We start from the raw sequence: 18,272 nt of genomic DNA on the forward strand, positions 1-18,272 counted from the left end.
AATTAAATAAAAAGTGACCTCCGTGTTACTTTGAAAGTATTCATTTGCCTCAGAGCAACAAGAAGTTTAAAAAAAACTATTATAAAATATAGAAAGAATGACTGTGCCTGGCCTTTTTCCTTTGTAAAAAAGAATCAAGATATCTTGTAGGAAACCTTTCTTTAACCCAGCATGTCAAATGTACAGAATCCTCATTAAACTGCACTGATTTGTCTCCAGTAGAGGCAAGAATTACAGAGTCCGATTTATTCAGCATTGTATCCAAACACATCAACAGCACAGAACATGAAGAAAACAGTATCTGAGCCCCTGTATGCTCAGTTTTGTTAAGGCTGAGCAGCTAATCAGAGGGAAGGAATGAATGGCTCTCCTCTAGCTACTGGCTCCAGAGCTCCACCATCCTGTGATGGCTCCTTGTAATTTTATTCATCTTTTATGTTTCTGATACTGTTGGGGTCAAGTTCAATGAGCCTTTGATATGAAATTGTTTCTATTAAGAGCTGAGTTCATGCCAGTGAAGAAAGAGTTTTGAGAGTAAGGGTTTTATTTCTTTTAAATATTCAGATGTGAGGCTGTAAAACTAATTAGATATCACCAAGGTTATATTAATATATATTTTTTCTTGTAATAAGATATATTTCAGAGCTAAGGGTAGTCTTCATGTGATTCTGACTTTACATCACTAGACACTGTTACTATGTCTTAAGTCTGTAAGACCCTTCAGTGGTGATCTATATCCTATCTCCCTCATTTAGAGTGCAGTTGTTTCTCCTATTTCCAGCTCTTCTGAGCTGGGCTCAGCACTAGAAAGTTTGCTTGCTTTAAGTGGTAATTATCTTCCAGGTTACAGTTGGCTACAAGCTTTTCCTGCCATAATGTATACACGTGCACACACAAGCACTGTTGGATGTATAATGGATAATGTGACTTGATTTGTGCAGTTTTTCTATGTCTCCTAATAATGGTATCTCTTAGGATTTCCTGCTTTCAAAGATGATTTGGAGTCAGTGTATTTTAAAAAGGCATTTCACTTTTCTAGGGAAAGTTTAATGCTAAGGATTAGGTGACAAGATTGATCTTTTTTTATCACAGGGGCTAATAGTGACTAGCTCCAATAAATAATAGAAGTATAAATAAAATTAATTTCTAGAGTCTCTTTTATTACCTTTGTCTAACAGAATAATTTGATTATTTTTCAACCCCTTAGGTTTTTTATTAGAACGTGTTTGAAAAATTGTACTCATTTAATTTTTTTTTAGATTCAGATGTTTTTGAAGTCAGAATCCCAGAAGACCATATACCAGATACAGGTAATGCAGTACCTATAACAAAAATTTTCATTTTGGATGTTAGTATTTTCTCTCAAACATGAATTGTGGATGGATTCTTTCAACCTTCCTGGAACTCAAGGGCAAGGAGTTACTCTTCAAAGCAGCTTGGAGACACCAGCTGGTAGTATGTGGAAGCCTCTGAGTTTAAGAATTTGGGGGCAGATTTATGTCATACTGAATCACTGTTAAAGATTCTTGCTATTTTCTAACCTATGTGTGCATTGCAAGACTACATGGTTTTAAGACATGGTTTTCTCAGAGAGGGCTGGTAGTCTGTTTTCTCTCTTTCTTTCTCTTACAGACACACACCACAATCCCATCTTCTTTCTTTACTGTGGTAGTTAAGATAGCTATAGGTAGTGTGTTCTTCCTACCAGTCTTCATTCTAGCCCACTGGCAAACAAAAAAAAATGAAATATTTTTGCGGTGGTTCTTGTCGCTAGAATTCTCTTGTTTGGTGTCCCAATAAAGGAAGCCTTTGGTTAAAAGAAAGAAAGGAAGAAAGTCTCTGGTGTTTGACAGTCAAGTCATAGGTGAAAACCTGTCGTTTGCATATCCTTAACATTAGGGACTTAACTGCTTTTATTTTTCTCTTCTTTTTTAGCAGGTACTTTGCTCTTAGAGTATTTCTTGACTATATCCTTGGAAAACTTTTAGACGAGTGAGATATGTTAGTAAAGAAGGCATATGGTCCTATGTTTAAAGTTTGAAACATAGTTCCATAGTTTATTATATGTAAATGTGTGAGCAGAACATCCTTTAGAATTATATAGTTTCATTCCTTAGTCCTAGGAGAAAAGGCCTTTATACACCATGTGAAATTGTTTCCCAAAGGAAATGCTATGGAATTTATTTGTGCTAGCTATTTATTATGGGATTTTGTACAACATTATTTCCTATTTTTCTTTCTTCAGACACTTGGAGCTAGCCCTTTAGTAAAAGTGAGCCTTTACTCTCAGATACATCTAATGTCTATATAAGCAAATAAAATCAGGGAAAGAAAAATCCATTGATATTACAGAACTGGGTGAAGTAAACCTTGATGTGAAGAACTCACCATTCTTAGTTTTATTATTTGGACATGGCTTACTCCTGAAGTTGCCTCCAGGAGAGATTGTGACCCAGCTGGCAGAGACAATTCTTATTTCTAATTCTGTTTTTAAAATTACCTGATTTAGAGCTAAACTGACTAGTTATTCATGTGAGAGTGTAGTGGCTTGACAGCCATTTACTCATTTTTCCTCTTCTCTGCTTTTTACCTTTTGATAGTTACATTAGTCTCTGCAATGAGCTTTTATATACTCTCTTCACCATAAACAAAAATGTTGTGTTTTTCTCACAGCATTCTGTAATTGTGACTATTTTCAGCTTGCATATGGGGAAAAACAAGATGAAGATGAAAGTTTTCCTAACTCTACTCTAATGAAATATCAAGCCAATAGTGGGGCTGGGAAGAGCTCTTGTCTCATTTCTCCCCGGCCTTTTCTGTACCAGAAAAGAGTATCCATTTCCCAGGGCTGATTTGTCGGAGGGATTTTTGTCTGCTGATTTTGTTGCATCTAAATGTTAGGGTTCCTTGCACTCAGATTTAATTATAGCTCGATACAACTATACTATATTGTGTTGTTCTCAGACTACTAAATATCTTAAAGGTCTGCTTTGACTTTCAGGATTATGTGAGTAAGCATTTTCTTGTTCAGGCCTTAAATTGAAGGCCTAGTAATGGGCAGTTAATGGCCAAGATGATGGAGAGACTGATTTATCAGAAGATAGCTGAAGCATAAATAGGTAATGAGGCTGCCTGACTTCCTGAATGGAGATGAGAAAATAGGAGCTGGTGCCAGTGTCAGCATAGTCTGTCTTTTTGTCTTTGCCTCTGGTTTGTTGGAGCAGGGACCACCTTGGCAGCCAGGGAATCACAAGAGTTCCGGGCTTTTAGTGCCTTCAGAACTGGAAATGTAGCAAGGTAAATTCGGGGAATGCCTCTCAAGAGTTCATCTTATCCAAGGAAAGCCGTTTTTTTTTTTTTTTTTTTTTTTTTTTTTTTGTGGCATGTGTAGCCTTCATCTAGGAATTCCTGGGTAGTGAGATCTACATGATGTAATCTCTGTCCTAGGAAAATGCATCCCAAAACAAGGGCAAGAAATTGTTTACATCAGTTGTGATATGGTTTGGCTGTGTCCCCGCCCACATCTCATCTTGAATTGTAGTTCCCGTAATCCCAACATGTCATGGGAGGGACCTGGTGGGAGGTAATTGAATGATGGGGATGGTTACCTCCATGCTATTCTCATGATAGTGAGTGAGTTCTCACGAGATCTGATGGTTTTATAAGGGGCTTTTCCCTCACTTCACTCTGTACTTCTTGCTGCTGGCATGTGAAGAAGGATGTGTTTGCTTCCCCTTCTGCCATGACTGTAAGTTTCCTGAGGCCTCCCCACCCCTGTGAACTGAGTCAATTAAACCTCTTTCCTTTATAAATTACCCAGTCTCAGGTATTTCTTCATACCAGCATGAGAACAGACTAATACAAGTTATAAATTTTTTCATGTAAAATAAAATCAACAGCAAGAATGGAAATTTGACTTGGAAAGCAAGTATAAGTAGATAAGAATTCCATGAGAATTGGCCATACTTTAGACTCACATGAAGTAGCTCTTTAAAAAATATGGGCTTGGAGGCCAAAGTAGAAAGATTGCTTGAGCTCAGGACTTTGAGACCAGCCTGGGCAATGTAGTAAGGTCCTGTCTCAAAAAGAATAAAAATACCATGGGAATTCCAATATTTTGCTCCTTTTCATGCCTCATTTAAAAAAACAGTATAGGCTGGGCATGGTGGCTCATGCCTGTAATCCCAGCACTTTGGGAGGCCGAGGCAGTCAGATCATGAGGTCAGGAGTTCGAGACCAGCCTTCCCAGATGGTGAAACCCGTCTCTACTAAAAATACAAAGAATTAGCCAGGTATGGTGGCGTGTGCCTGTAATCCCAGCTATTCGGGAGGCTGAGGCAGGAGAATTGCTTGAGCCCTAGAGGCAGAGGTTGCAGTGAGCTAAGATCGCACCACTGCACTCCAGCCTGAGCGACAGAGTGAGACTCTGTCTCAAAAAAAAAAAAAAAAAAAAAAAGTATATTGAGGTTCTACTTTGTGACAAAGTGTGCCAAGGTGCTTACAGAGATATTGGCCCTCAATTTAGCTGGAAAGACTATCTGACTGAATTTCTTTTTCTTCCTTTTGTCTTTCTCTTACTCATTCCCTCCTTTTAGAAAAAACTTTTAAAACTTTTATTATTTTGGTTGAACTCAACACCAAAATGTAGGTAGTAAATTGTCATAAGAACATACATTTTACTTTTAAGAAATAATGCAGGAATTTAGTAAGTAAATATTCAGTTTTGAAAGTTAAACATATTTTGTCATAAATAGTGAAGGCAAGGGGAGAGAGCTATTTTTATTGGACATGTATTATCACAAAGGTCTTTAATCCATTTTTATGGCTTTCAAGATAAGGAGGGCATTTCTTAGGTTGGTTTAGAATATTGCTTTTCAACTGTTGGCTATACCTTAGAATGACATTGATGGCTCTTTAAAAAATGTTGATGCCTGGGATCCACTGCAGACCAAGTGTATCAGAATCGCTGAATTTGAGGCATAGGCACTAGTATTTTTTAAAAAGTTTCCCAAGGTAGTCTGGGTGTGGTGGCTCATGCTTGTAATCCCAACGAATCAGGAGACTGAGGTAGGAGAATTGCTTGAGCCCAGGAGTTTGAGGCTGCAGTGACCTATGATCGCATCTCTGAATAGCCACTGCACTCCAGCCTGGGCAACACAGTGAGATTCTGTCTCTACAAAAAATTTAAAAAATAGAAATAGCTGAGTATGGTGGCACATGCTTATAGTCCCAGCTACTCAGAGGGGCTGAGGTGGCAGGATCACTTGAGCCCAGGAATTTGAGGTTACAGTGAGCTGTGACTGTGCAACTGCACTCCAGACTGAGAAAAAGAGCATGACCCTATCTCTAAGGGGGAAAAAGAAAAGCTTCCCAAGTGTATTAGTCTGTTCTTACACTGCTATAACGAAATACCTGAAACTGGGTAATTTTTAAGAAAAGAGGGTTAGTTGGCTTATGGTTCTGCAGGCTGTACAGGCTTTTGCTTCTGGGGAGACCTCAGGAAACTTAAAATCATGGCAGAAGGTGAAGGGGAAGCTGGCATGTCTTACATGGTCAGAGCAGAAGGAAGAGAGAGAGAGAAGGGGGAGATGCTACACACTTTTAAACAACCAGAGCTCCTGAGAACTCACTCACTATCACAAGAACTGCAAGGAGGAAAGTCCACCTCCATGATGTAGTCACTGTGCACCAGGCCTCTCCTCCAACACTGGGGATTACAATTCTACATGTGATTTGGGTGGGGATGCAAATCCTAACCATATCACCAAAGAAGTCTAATGTGGAACCAGGATTGAGAATAACCAGTTTAGAAGTTCTTTGATGTCTTTACTTCCATCTTGATCTTCCATAATAGATCAGTAACATATAGCGTGCCTTGTAATTTCCTGATTGTGCTGAGCTGTTTGCTGTTTTTGTGCCTTTGTTGTTCCTGTTTCCTGGAGTGCTTTCCCTTACATTGTCAATCTGAGGAGCACCAATGCATTCCTCGGTATCCCTACAGTTGAAGGACTGCTGTTGTATTTTATACATATACCTACTGTTAGACTTACACTCATTTTGTAATAATTTGTTTAGTACCTTCCTCTTGTGACTGTGAGTTTCCTGAGTGCAAGAGCCGTATCCAACTCATCTTTCTTTCCCAGAGCCTGGTATGATCAGCACTCTAAAAGTGTCGAATGGACTATCACTTATTTAATTATTACAGCAAATCTACAAAGTGTGTATTATTATTTTTGCTCTTTAAGAGATGAGGACTTTCAGTTCAGAAACATGAAACAACCTGCTCTAGTTTATTCCACTGGTAAATGGAAGACCTAGAATTCAAATGTACCTCAGCTCTTTAAAGTTTGTTCTTTAAAAATTGTGCTATTTTGTTTTGTTTCATTTTGTTTTAAAATGTCCTGTTGCCAGGCACTGTTCTACTTCTTGTAATACTAAATGCAGATGGTTGGATTTCAAGAACAGTTTGGTTTAAAGATAATGTGTAAATTAGATACAATATATAATCAGCTTATGAAAACTGTGGGTGTTACTGAGATGGAAAAGGGAGAGTAACATGGAGTCATAAGTATAGAAATACAGACAGAAAACACTAATGTTCTTACATTTATCATACCAATTTACATATAGGTAGACCTGTTGGGTAGAACTCTCTGTTAACAGATGCCATTGTAATACAGTTCTGCTTCACAAAATTAATCCCATATCTTGATGTGGCCACAACAAATTCTAGAATGAGAAACCTTCATCTGAAATAGAGATATAGTATCAATCCTTTGCAGCTCTTTTGCCAGAAGTTCTCATAAGGCTATGGTGATTTTTCAGTTGCCTTTTCCGATGTAGAAAAGAGGGATCATATATACAAGCCATATATATATATATGTATTTATTAAACTGAAGATGTTAGACTTCCAAGAATTATACTTGTAGTTTTTTTAAACTGAGCTGAAAGAGTCAAATGGCAAATATGTGTTTAGGACGCAGTACCTAAAGTACTGTTACATGCATTAACTCTTATTTTTAATAATATTAATTACTTTCACAGTTATCTTATTGTATACTACCATTTGATTGGTAATATTCCCACCCCATTGGTAAACATCAATTCGTTATTCAGGTTGGACTTAATTAAAAACCTAAAGTACCTCATCTTTCTCCTTGTGTCAGAGTTCTGATTCTACTATGAATGTTGTACTGCTAACTTTGCTTTAAAAATTGGTTATCAGTAAGGCAGTCTTAAAAAGTTCCTTTGTGTTTGATCTCTGGGATAGGTAGGTTGGCCCTGGTTCATTGACTCTAGAAGATATGAGGAGAAGAGGACAGGCTGCCACAAAGCAAAATGCATGAGAAACGAGTGTTATATTAATTCCGCATTTTAATTTCAGCTATTGCCCATGAATAATAAATAGGCTCCAATCTGGGGATTGTATCATGTTCTTATGGTCCTAAAATTCTGTGATTCATTTTTGAATTTAGAATTTAGAATTATCTTTATGTAATTATACTGATTTATTAAGAGTTCCTGCCATTTGGAGAGTTATTTTATATTTTTGCATTTTTCCCTTGAATCTTTTGTTTCACAGCTTCTATAAATGTCAGCCTCACTGCTTGCCTCAATCTCTAAAGCACATACATACTGCAAGCACATACTTTACCATATCCATGTAATTTCTTTTCCTTAAGTGACAGACATATATATATATGTTTAACTATAACTCTGAGTTTGTAAGGTTGTTATCAAATTGGCCTTAGGACATGTGCTGTGTGTCAGCTATGGTCATGTTATTAACTTTTAGATGGAAATGGAATTCTAAAGATTGTTTTTTATGTTTTGATTTTCTTGTCATATCTTCTAAAAATGCTCTTTAGAGTATTTTCATGATACTGAAATAACTTCTATTATAATATTTATTCATTAGAACCCAGTAAAACCTGCAAGTACCTCCAAGCTGTAGGATGAAAGCAAGGAGTTGAAATATGATGAAAAAGGCCTACCAGGAGGTGAGATGCCTACTCTACCACCAAATATGTGACTTTGGAAGTGACTTTTGCCCACACTGGCCTCAGTGTCCCTAGTTATATACTAAGGATCTTGTATTATGTGACCTCTAGGAATCTCTCAATATTATTCTGTAATACCTGAAGTACCTGTTTAATAGTTTTTAAAATCACAATTCATTCTTATGTAGTAATTTGAAAGATGGCATTTCTGCAAAATTACGTTTTTCCAGTATCTGTGAGGGGTATTACTACTTTTTCATCTTCAACTTAAAGTTAATAAATATTGGAATTTTTCCTTGACAGTACCTTAGCCTGTGTCCCCCACCAAAGGAAATTCTTGGTATTATACTGATTCTCTCTTCTCAAACATACCTTTTTCCTTAAACTAAAAAGGCAGGGTCTAAGAGTAACTTTCTGAGAGCCATCCTGGCTCACTTCAGTGGTGTTGAATAATAAGCCTGATAATATAGCAACTCAGTGTAGTTCATTTACTTTATTCCTTCTCCAAGATAACCTTAAGAAGCAACCATATTGGCCGGGTGCGGTGGCTCATGCCTGTAATCCCAGCACTTTGGGAGGCCAAGGCGGGTGGATCACGAGGTCAGGAGATCGAGACCATCCTGGCTAACACAGTGAAACCCTGTCTCTACTCAGGGATGCCCTCTGTCACCACTCCTATTCAACATAGTGTTGGAAGTTCTGGCCAGGGCAATCAGGCAGGAGAAGGAAATAAAGGGTATTCAATTAGGAAAAGAGGAAGTCAAATTGTCCCTGTTTGCAGACGACATGATTGTATATCTAGAAAACCCCATTGTCTCAGCCCAAAATCTCCTTAAGTTGTTAAGCAACTTCAGCAAAGTCTCAGGATACAAAATCAATGTACAAAAATCACAAGCATTCTTATACACCAATAACAGACAAACAGAGAGCCAAATCATGAGTGAACTCCCATTCACAATTGCTTCAAAGAGAATAAAATACCTAGGAATCCAACTTACAAGGGATGTGAAGGACCTCTTCAAGGAGAACTACAAACCACTGCTCAATGAAATAAAAGAGGATACAAACAAATGGAAGAACGTTCCATGCTCATGGGTAGGAAGAATCAATATCGTGAAAATGGCCATACTGCCCAAGGTAATTTATAGATTCAATGCCATCCCCATCAAGCTACCAATGACTTTCTTCACAGAATTGGGAAAAACTACTTTAAAGTTCATATGGAACCAAAAAAGAGCCCGCATCGCCAAGTCAATCCTAAGCCAAAAGAACAAAGCCAGAGGCATCACGCTACCTGACTTCACACTATACCTACAAAGCTACAGTAACCAAAACAGCATGGTACTGGTACCAAAACAGAGGTATAGATCTATAGATCAATGGAACAGAACAGAGCCCTCAGAAATAACACCGCATATCTACAACTATCTGATCTTTGACAAACCTGAGAAAAACCAGCAATGGGGAAAGGATTCCCTATTTAATAAATGGTGCTGGGAAAACTGGCTAGCCATATGTAGAAAGCTGAAACTGGATCCCTTCCTTACACCTTATACAAAAATTAATTCAAGATGGATTAAAGACTTAAATGGTAAACCTAAAACCATAAACTCCCTAGAAGAAAACCTAGGCAATACCATTCAGGACATAGGCACGGGCAGACTTCATGTCTCAAACCCCCAAAGCAATGGCAACAAAAGCCAAAATTGACAAATCGGATCTAATTAAGCTAAAGAGCTTCTGCACAGCAAAAGAAACCACCATCAGAGTGAACAAGAAACCTACAGAATGGGAGAAAATTTTTGCAACCTACTTATCTGACAAAGGGCTAATATCCAGAATCTACAACGAACTCAAACAAATTTACAAGAAAAAAACAAACCCATCAAAAAGTGGGCAAAGGATATGAACAGACACTTCTCAAAAGAAGACATTTATGCAGCCAAAAAACACATGGAGAAGTGCTCACCATCACTGGCCATCAGAGAAATGCAAATCAAAACCACAATGAGATACCATCTCACACCAGTTAGAATGGCGATCATTAAAAAGTCAGGAAACAACAGGTGCTGGAGAGGATGTGGAGAAATAGGAACACTTTTACACTGTTGGTGGGACTGTAAACTAGTTCAACCATTGTGGAAGTCAGTGTGGCGATTCCTCAGGGATCTAGAACTAGAAATACCATTTGACCCAGCCATCCCATTACTGGGTATATACCCAAAGGATTATAAATCGTGCTGCTATAAAGACACATGCACACGTATGTTTATTGTGGCACTATTCACAATAGCAAAGAGTTGGAACCAACCCAAATGTCCAACAATGATAGACTGGATTAAGAAAATGTGGCACATATACACCATGGAATACTATGCAGCCATGAAAAATGATGAGCTCATGTCCTTTGTAGGGACATGGATGAAGCTGGAAACCATCATTCTCAGCAAACTATCGTGAGGACAAAAAACCAAACACCGCATATTCTCACTCATAGGTGGGAATTGAACAATGAGAACACATGAACACAAGAAGGGGAACATCACACACCGGGGACTGTTGTGGGGTAGGGGTAGGGGGTGGGATAGCATTAGGAGATATACCTAATGCTAAATGACGAGTTAATGGGTGCAGCACACCAACATGGCACATGTATACATATGTAACAAAGCTGCACGTTGTGCACATGTACCCTAAAACTTAAAGTATAATAATAATAAAATTAAAAAAAAAAAAAGAGAAACCTTGTCTCTACTAAAAAGAAAAAAATACAAAAAAATTAGCCAGCCGTGGTGGCGGGTGTCTGTAGTCCCAGCTGCTCGGGAGGCTGAGGCAGGAGAATGGTGTGAACCTGGGAGGCAGAGCTTGCAGTGAGCCGAGATCGTGCCACTGCCCTCCAGCCTGGGCGACAGAGCGAGACTCTGTCTCAAAAAAAAAAAAAAAGAAAAAAAATAAAAGAAAAGAAGCACCATATTTCTTCTCTTTGGCCTATTTATCAGCCAGAAACATGGGGAAGGTAGGTTCCTGAATATTGGAAGACCACAGAAAATGCGAAGAAACCAGGCTCACATTTATTTTAGTGACCACCACTGCAAGTTTGGTTTGGGTGAGAAGTCCTGTGTTTTGGGTTTGATCCTTGAGGCCTCATGAGTTTCAGCCCTGCTGCTGAAAGTGTCTTGGTTTTAGCCAAACTGTGGAGGAAAGTGACATTGAATACTGGTGCAATGAACTCATTGGAGCTGCTTTTCAAAATGTTCAGAGACAGTGTCAGTGATGCTGTATTAGTTTCCTGGTGCTTCTATAACACATTAGCAGAAACTTCGTTGCCTGAAACAACAACAACTTATTGTCTTACAACTGTGGAGGTCAGAAGCCTGAAATAGGTCTTACAAGGATAAGATGAAGTATTGGCAGTGCTTTGCTCCTTTTGGAGGCCCTAAGGGAGATTCATTCCTTGCCTTTTCTAGTTTCTAGAGGCTGTCTGCATTCCTTGGTTCCTGCCCTCTTCCTCTTAGCACTCTGATCTCTACTTCCACCATCATACCTTCTTCTCTGGTTTTAACCCTGTTGCCTTCCACTTATAAGGACTCATGTAATTAGATTGAGCCCATCCAGATAATCCAGGATAATCTCCCCAAGTCAAGGTCCTTAACAATATCTGCACAGTCCCTTTTTCCATGTGAGGTAACATGTTCGTAGGTTCTGGATATTAGGGTGTAGGCATATTTAGGGGTCATTATTTTCCCTACCGCAGATTCCTTCTAGTTATTAATGTTGTTACCTGGATATTACCTCCTTCTGGAGGCCTTCTGAGACACCCTTAGACCTCCATCTTCCCTGGTCATTCTCGACAGCATTTCTCTGTTTTATTAAGTCTGAGAATACTATGTTTATTTTCTAAACTTATTTTTAATTTAATTGTTCATTTTCTGTCTCCTCTACTATCAGATAAACTCCACAGGAGCAGAAACATGATCAGTTTTCTTCACTACTTTGTCCCCCAAATCTAAATAGCTCCCAGCACTTGGTAGGCTCTCAGAAGAAGGTTATTGAATGAATCAATCTGTATATAGTCTAAGAAAGCTTGCCTTATATTAAAACTATGTTAACATACTCCTGTTCCTATTACTATCAATAATGCAAACATTCTTACTAAGCAGTAGTTAAGCATTCTGTCAATGGATTTTCTTTTGAATTTAAGTACATGAGTTTCTCATTGGGACATAACTGAGATCAATAAAATAAGATACCAGATGTAAAATGGAGCTGCAGGAAAAAGAATTATAATTAATGCAGACAGTAAATACCTTGCCAAGAAGAATTTTAACATTACCTCAATCCAAGCTGTAATCATGATACCAAGGTGAATAACACGTGGCCCTTGTGTTTTTCACCACAAATTTGCAACATTAATATTTCTGATTCAAAGGAAATTGAGGTAAGAGCTTTAATAGTCCTACAATAAGGATGGAGGAGGGAGAGGTTCATTTTAACTGAAACATCATTTCTGGTAAGCAGAGGCTCTTCCCAAAACACAGTTGTTAGCACTCTAGGAAACTCAAAGAGCTTTAGGTAGAGGGAGTGATGTTATCCATTGACATCACATTAAAAGCAACTCTGATGGAAAGAGTGTCTTTCTATAAGCAGTTAACTTATAGCTGTTCAGTTGTTGTTCATTTATACATCCAGGGGATTGATAACAACCTTCGAATGAATCAGGCAATCAGAAGATCAACTAAGTACCTGGTGCTGGTCAAGTACTGAGGTCTTGATGTGATATTGACCTGTAGTGAGGAGGAGATGAGGAGGCTAGACGAGGTTGGAAAGGCTTCATGGAAGAGGGGTGCTATGCACTGAATTATGCCCTCCCCACATTTAAATGTTGAAACTCTAACCCCCAACATGACTGTGTTTGGAGATGGGAGACCTTTAAGAGGTGATTAAGATTACATGAGGTCATAAGGGTGGGACCCTAATCCAATATGACTGGTGTCCTTATAAGAAGAGAAAGAGACACCAGGCATGTGCACTTACAAAGAAAAGGCTATGTGAGGACACAGAGAGAAAATGGCCATTTCCAGGCCAAGGAGACAGGCCTCAGGAGAAACCAAATCTACCAACACCTTAACCTTGGACTTCCAGCCTCCAGAACTGCAAGAAAATAAATTTCTATTTAGGCCACCCAGTCTGTGGTATTTTGTTTTGGCAGTCCTAGACGACTATAGGTGGAACTTGATCTAAATCTTGAAGGATGAGTAGGGCCGTTTCTGGGAAACAGCTTTGGGGAAGTGTCTAGTTCAGGAAAGGTCTCAGCAAAATTAATGAATGAAAAAGCCACAGAAAATGTTGGAATGAACATAGCTTTTGAACTAAAGAGCAGAAGAGAGAACTGAGTGTAGGTGGGCTATGGGTAGGTGCTTATGTACCATTATGCCTGGGGTGGGGAAGGTGATTATGGAAGATCCTGAAATCCAGGGAGAAGGGTTTTTTATTTCTTTTTTTTTTTTTGATACAGTAGAAAATCTAGGGCTTACATTTGGGGTTTTGATAAGGAGCCAACTTTAGAAAGATCGGGGGATATGATGTATGGCAGAGGTGGAAATGAAGGGTAAGGTGTGGCTCCAAGAACTACCATAAAAAAAGAAAACAGATTTAGTTGGGGCTGGGTATTAGTTGAGAAGAGTTAAGAGTTATAGTTGAATGGTTCATGAGGCTGAGAGGTACCCAGGTAGTTCTTAATTTTTGAAGTTTTATGAGGATTAGAATGTGTTAGCAACAGAAGTACAAGATTCTCCCATACCTACTTCTTTAGGAGGATAGACTTTAAAACAGAAGAATTATCCTTTCTTTCCAAAAAGTCTTATTATTATTAATCAGACTCTCTCCTTTCACCTAATCTCATAGTTTACTGTGTGTGAAATCCCAGGGATGGTTGAGGTCACCTGTGGCCCCACAGAATCCTAAGATGTCCGTTCTGGGATGTGCTGGTTCTCAGGGAGCAGCAGCACTGTTGGCCTCACATACTATGTGCAGTTGCTCATGTGGCTTTTAATCTCTAAAATAATGTTTGTCACGTTTCTCATTTTAGTGATTATACATATTGATTTTAGAGGTTTGGATACTGTAGAAACATAAACACGAAAAATTCCAATAATTTGGAGTCCTACTGTTTGGATATAGCTACTGTTCATATTTGGTGAGTCGAATGGAACACACAGTTTTGCTTCCTCCTTTCTTTTCAGTTAATTCACATGATTATTCAGTATGCAAATATTAGTGCTATGGGAAACACTATATTTTTTAGTTTAGAGTCCCTTGTGGTTTTCTCTGGGAGTTCCTAGGATAGCATAGGAAATAGTGAATTTTTTTTTTCTAACACAAGAACATTTTGATAGGTGATATTGGCAGTAGATGTGCAGAGGTTTAATTTTGCTTTTAGGAAGATGTGGAAACCTTGATGAAATTATGTCTGGTAAATTATAAAGGAAATACTATTTTTAAAGTATATCTTTGTGATAAGCGAAAAAGGATTTTTTGGAGGTTTAGATATCTTCTTTCTAAATAGATCATATTCACCATATTATTTTATTCTTGAATTGAGCATATTTTACTTATTTTCTTTCCAAATGTACAAAACTTTATTTTAAAGGAGCTAGTCACTTAAAATCAGATAAGATGAATGAAGTGCAGTCATCTTAGAAATGAAATGCTTAACCACTTGAGGTAAACTAGAAAAGTAGGGCACTTGTCCTCTTTGATTGGGTGGTAATTTACTTCACATTGGTGAATGCTTGGCTTCTAAGAAGGTGTAAATTTTACTTTAATATGTTTTCACTTATTCTCCATGTTGAATTATTTTCTTATGATATTGTAAGTGTTTTGAAATAATCATAAGAAAGACTAATTGTCTGATTAGTATGGCTGAGTAATAAATAACCTTTTTTCTTTTTGATATTGTAGTTGACTCATGTTGACCAAGCAAGCTTCCAGGTTGATGCCTTTGGAACGTCATTCATTCTCGATGTCGTGCTAAATCAGTAAGTGTTGAGTTGCACTTGCTTTTGTCAGATACACATTGAATCCACTTTATTTTCCACTTGTAAAGTTTTTTCTTACTATATTTTACTTTGTCTTCCTATACCGGTTAAATACTACATTTTAAACTATACTTATTTACTGTAGGTTATAAAGTCTGGCAGATAACAAGAAATATATATTCATTTGAAATTGAGCACCTATAATAGAGTTAAGAATGTAAAATGAAAGGCAAGAGTTACCCCAATATTTTTTGTAAGAATATCTATAACTTAAGTTTCCTATGAATGACAGTAAATTATGACAATAATACTTTGGGTATTGAAGTATCTTCCTTGAGAACAGCAGGAAAGAGAAGGTTGCACTTTTTGATTAATGATTCAGAGGACTGGCTGCATGATATGTGATGTTAAATAGTACCTGGTGTTCATTAGATGCTTTGATGTGGTGGTGGATTTCTGTGAGGTTTCTGGTACTGGGATTATCCTGTGAATACAATATAATTTTAGAAATAGTTGTCTATCTAGAATTTTAGGTTTGGAAGGTGCTTTTGATTTGTTGCTGGATTTAATCTCTTGCATTTGGTCTAAGTGTAGTGTTTAATAAATCTGGTTAGTTACTGTTCACTTTTTTAAAAAAGGGTTTCTATCCTACTTCTGATCATGGGCAAGTGGGCAGAGACCAGGGTTCTGCCAGGCCTATGCTTCTGAGCTGGGCAGAATTGGGCTATAGTTTTCTGGAAGCATTTCTACAACAGGAAGAAAGTCTGAGGCCAGAAATTCAGACAAATAGACTAAGAGTGAGAATTAGAGCCTGAGTTGTCTGCAATGGGGAACCAGCTAGATGGAAGTTAATTTAAAAAGGCATGTAAGAGGCAAGACTTAGGACCATGTTATCTGGATAGGTAGCCATTAGCCACTTGTGGCTGTTTAAATTTACATTAATTCATTCAAATAAAATTAAAAATTCTGTTCTTCAGTTGCATTAGCCACATTTTAAATGCTCAATAACCCTCTCTGCCTTCACTCCCTCATCTACTTAATACCTAGTCTCCTTCTCTGTTTCATTTTAAAAATAATACTTATCACCATTTAATATATAGGTGAATTCTTATGACATTGCCATTTTTATAGGTCAAAAAAGTTTGACTACCATTATTGATGTATGGCCATCTAATATTTGATATTTTGATTATTTATTTGGTCTATAGTCTTTTTCCTACCCCTGCAATGTAAGCTCTTTGAGGGCAGAGATTTTCTTTGCTTCACTGATGTATCCTTAATATAGGGGTTAAACTCCAGGCTGGGAGTCATATTGACTCAGAAACCAGAGGATAGGATTAGCCAGGAGACAGAGGTAAGATGACTAGGAGAGGAAGAGTGAAACAGCAAAAAAGAAGATAAATGTTTGAGACTAGCTTCTGAAAGCTGCATGTAGATACTAGGTGTGATTTGGAAAGTCAGGTTCTTAGGTCTCTATTTTAATAACTCCCTTCCATCCCTCTTTGAAATCATTGCCCCTGTTGGTAATCTGTGTTTTCTGCTTCCTGACATCTGTAATTCCTTGACTTTTAATACTCAAACAAAGAAGGGATGTTTATTCATGTCCATTCTGGCCAAACTGCCTCACTTACTTTGGAGACATCCGAGTCCAAAGACTTTCTTTTCCTGAAGGAGACACACATATGGTCATACTTATCAAAGCGTGAAGTTTAGAATACTGGGGTTGAAGCATAATTTCTTCTGAGATATTGGCAGAAACCTCTATTGGGCATTTTTCTTTCTATTTCAATGCAAATTTGCAACTACAAGACATATAAAAGATTAAATAAGAGCATAAATGGAGGTAGCCTGGGCTGAGAAACATGCACTGTGCTCTTTTTTTTTTTTGCCTGGGATCGATGTTAAACATAGGTGGCAGGTGGCTGTTATCTTTATACTATAAAAATCATGATGTGATACAAAAATGTTTATCTTATTTTTAATGTAGAATTTTGTTTTTCGTGGTTTCAGTTTGTGTATTGTCTTAAGTTGGTTAAGGAGCAGGAACGTGAAGAACAATAAGTTCTTTAAACTTTTTTTTTCTTATGAAGCAATTCTGGGGCTGTGGAACATATAGAAAATTTTTTTAACTGGAGGAAAATTAAATAAGTCCATGTAGCTAGCTTCTGGTTGCAGAATGGATCCAATAATACATATTTTTTGATTGGAATGGATGGAAAAGTATCATTACATAATGTTTCTTCTTAATGTTCAGTAAATAAAATTATCTATAAGTAGATTATATCTATAAGTAGAGTTTAACCTTTGAGTAGTAACTTCCACAGGAGGCTGATAAAAATATGGAAAGGTTAAAAATGAAAAGCACAGCCAGTTTCTTTTTTGTCAAAATTATCAAGAAAAGGGTGGGGAGCAGTTTTTCTTCATGGGGTCGTAGTTGTGAAATTTCACTCTTTAGGACAGATGTATTAACAAAATGAAACATATGGCCTGGTCTGGCCACACTAGTCCTAGGCTGCATTGGACCTTTCCAGAGGTCAGCAATGAGTCTTATATTTTATTGTGAAACATTCTTCGGAAAGAAGAAAGCTCAATAAAGACATGTAACTCTATTATCTGAGCAATTCAGTCCAATTTTTTTTTCTTGTACATCTCCTGTTCTTGAAGAAGTGGATAATTAAACTGCTCCAAACAATGCAAGATGTTGAAAAATGTTTCCTTTCAGCAGAATTCTTTGATCCTTTACAACAGAGGACCTGACAAAAACCACACATAGTCCCCCAACAAAGAAGCAAGCACTGTCTGTGGACTGTGGTTGGTTGTTTATGATGTGAAATATATAACAATTAGGAAAAATATCTTTTATAGCCTGCTTTTTTTGGAAGGGATTCTGTTGTGCAGCTCTCAGATCCTGGATGATCCAGTGCCTAAATTTTGAGTGTATTTTACAGATTCTCAGCTTCTTGTCTTCTTATTTCAATAACAACGAAATGGTTTTTCTCACTGTATGATCCTTATAGCAGTCTTCTTTTCCCCCAGTTTTACAGTAAGTGGTGGGAGGACAACTAGGAACTGAAGCATGACAGATGTCAGCAGATGGGGTTGCCCATGAAGAATGGGAGGTGGTGTGGGGATAGGGAAGAGGGAGAGAGAGAGAGAAGCAGAAGCAGGGTTAGACAAGGAACACCCAAATTCTGTTTAAAAGAGAACATTCAGTCTTGCCTTCTCTCATTTAGA

At 37.7% G+C, this 18,272-nt stretch overlaps 1 protein-coding gene across 32 annotated transcripts in view; it reads left to right on the forward strand.

Annotated features, from left to right (window-relative positions):
- ADAM22 (ADAM metallopeptidase domain 22) overlaps positions 1 to 18,272 on the forward strand; it is a 268,639-nt gene that overhangs the window by 29,124 nt on the left and 221,243 nt on the right. For 26 of the 32 annotated variants that reach the window (XM_011516318.3, NM_001324418.2, NM_001324420.2 and 23 more), the window contains one exon: positions 14,962 to 15,038. In XM_011516318.3, coding sequence (XP_011514620.1) covers positions 14,962 to 15,038 — 77 coding nt within the window. Of the gene's footprint in view, positions 1 to 1,259; positions 1,311 to 7,919; positions 8,002 to 14,961; positions 15,039 to 18,272 lie in introns of those variants that run through there. The other 6 variants (XM_017012330.3, NM_001391975.1, XM_017012335.3 and 3 more) reach the window with 2 other exon arrangements.

Source organism: Homo sapiens, chromosome 7 (genome assembly GCF_000001405.40).
Source record: "Homo sapiens chromosome 7, GRCh38.p14 Primary Assembly".
Classification (NCBI taxonomy): domain Eukaryota; kingdom Metazoa; phylum Chordata; class Mammalia; order Primates; family Hominidae; genus Homo; species Homo sapiens.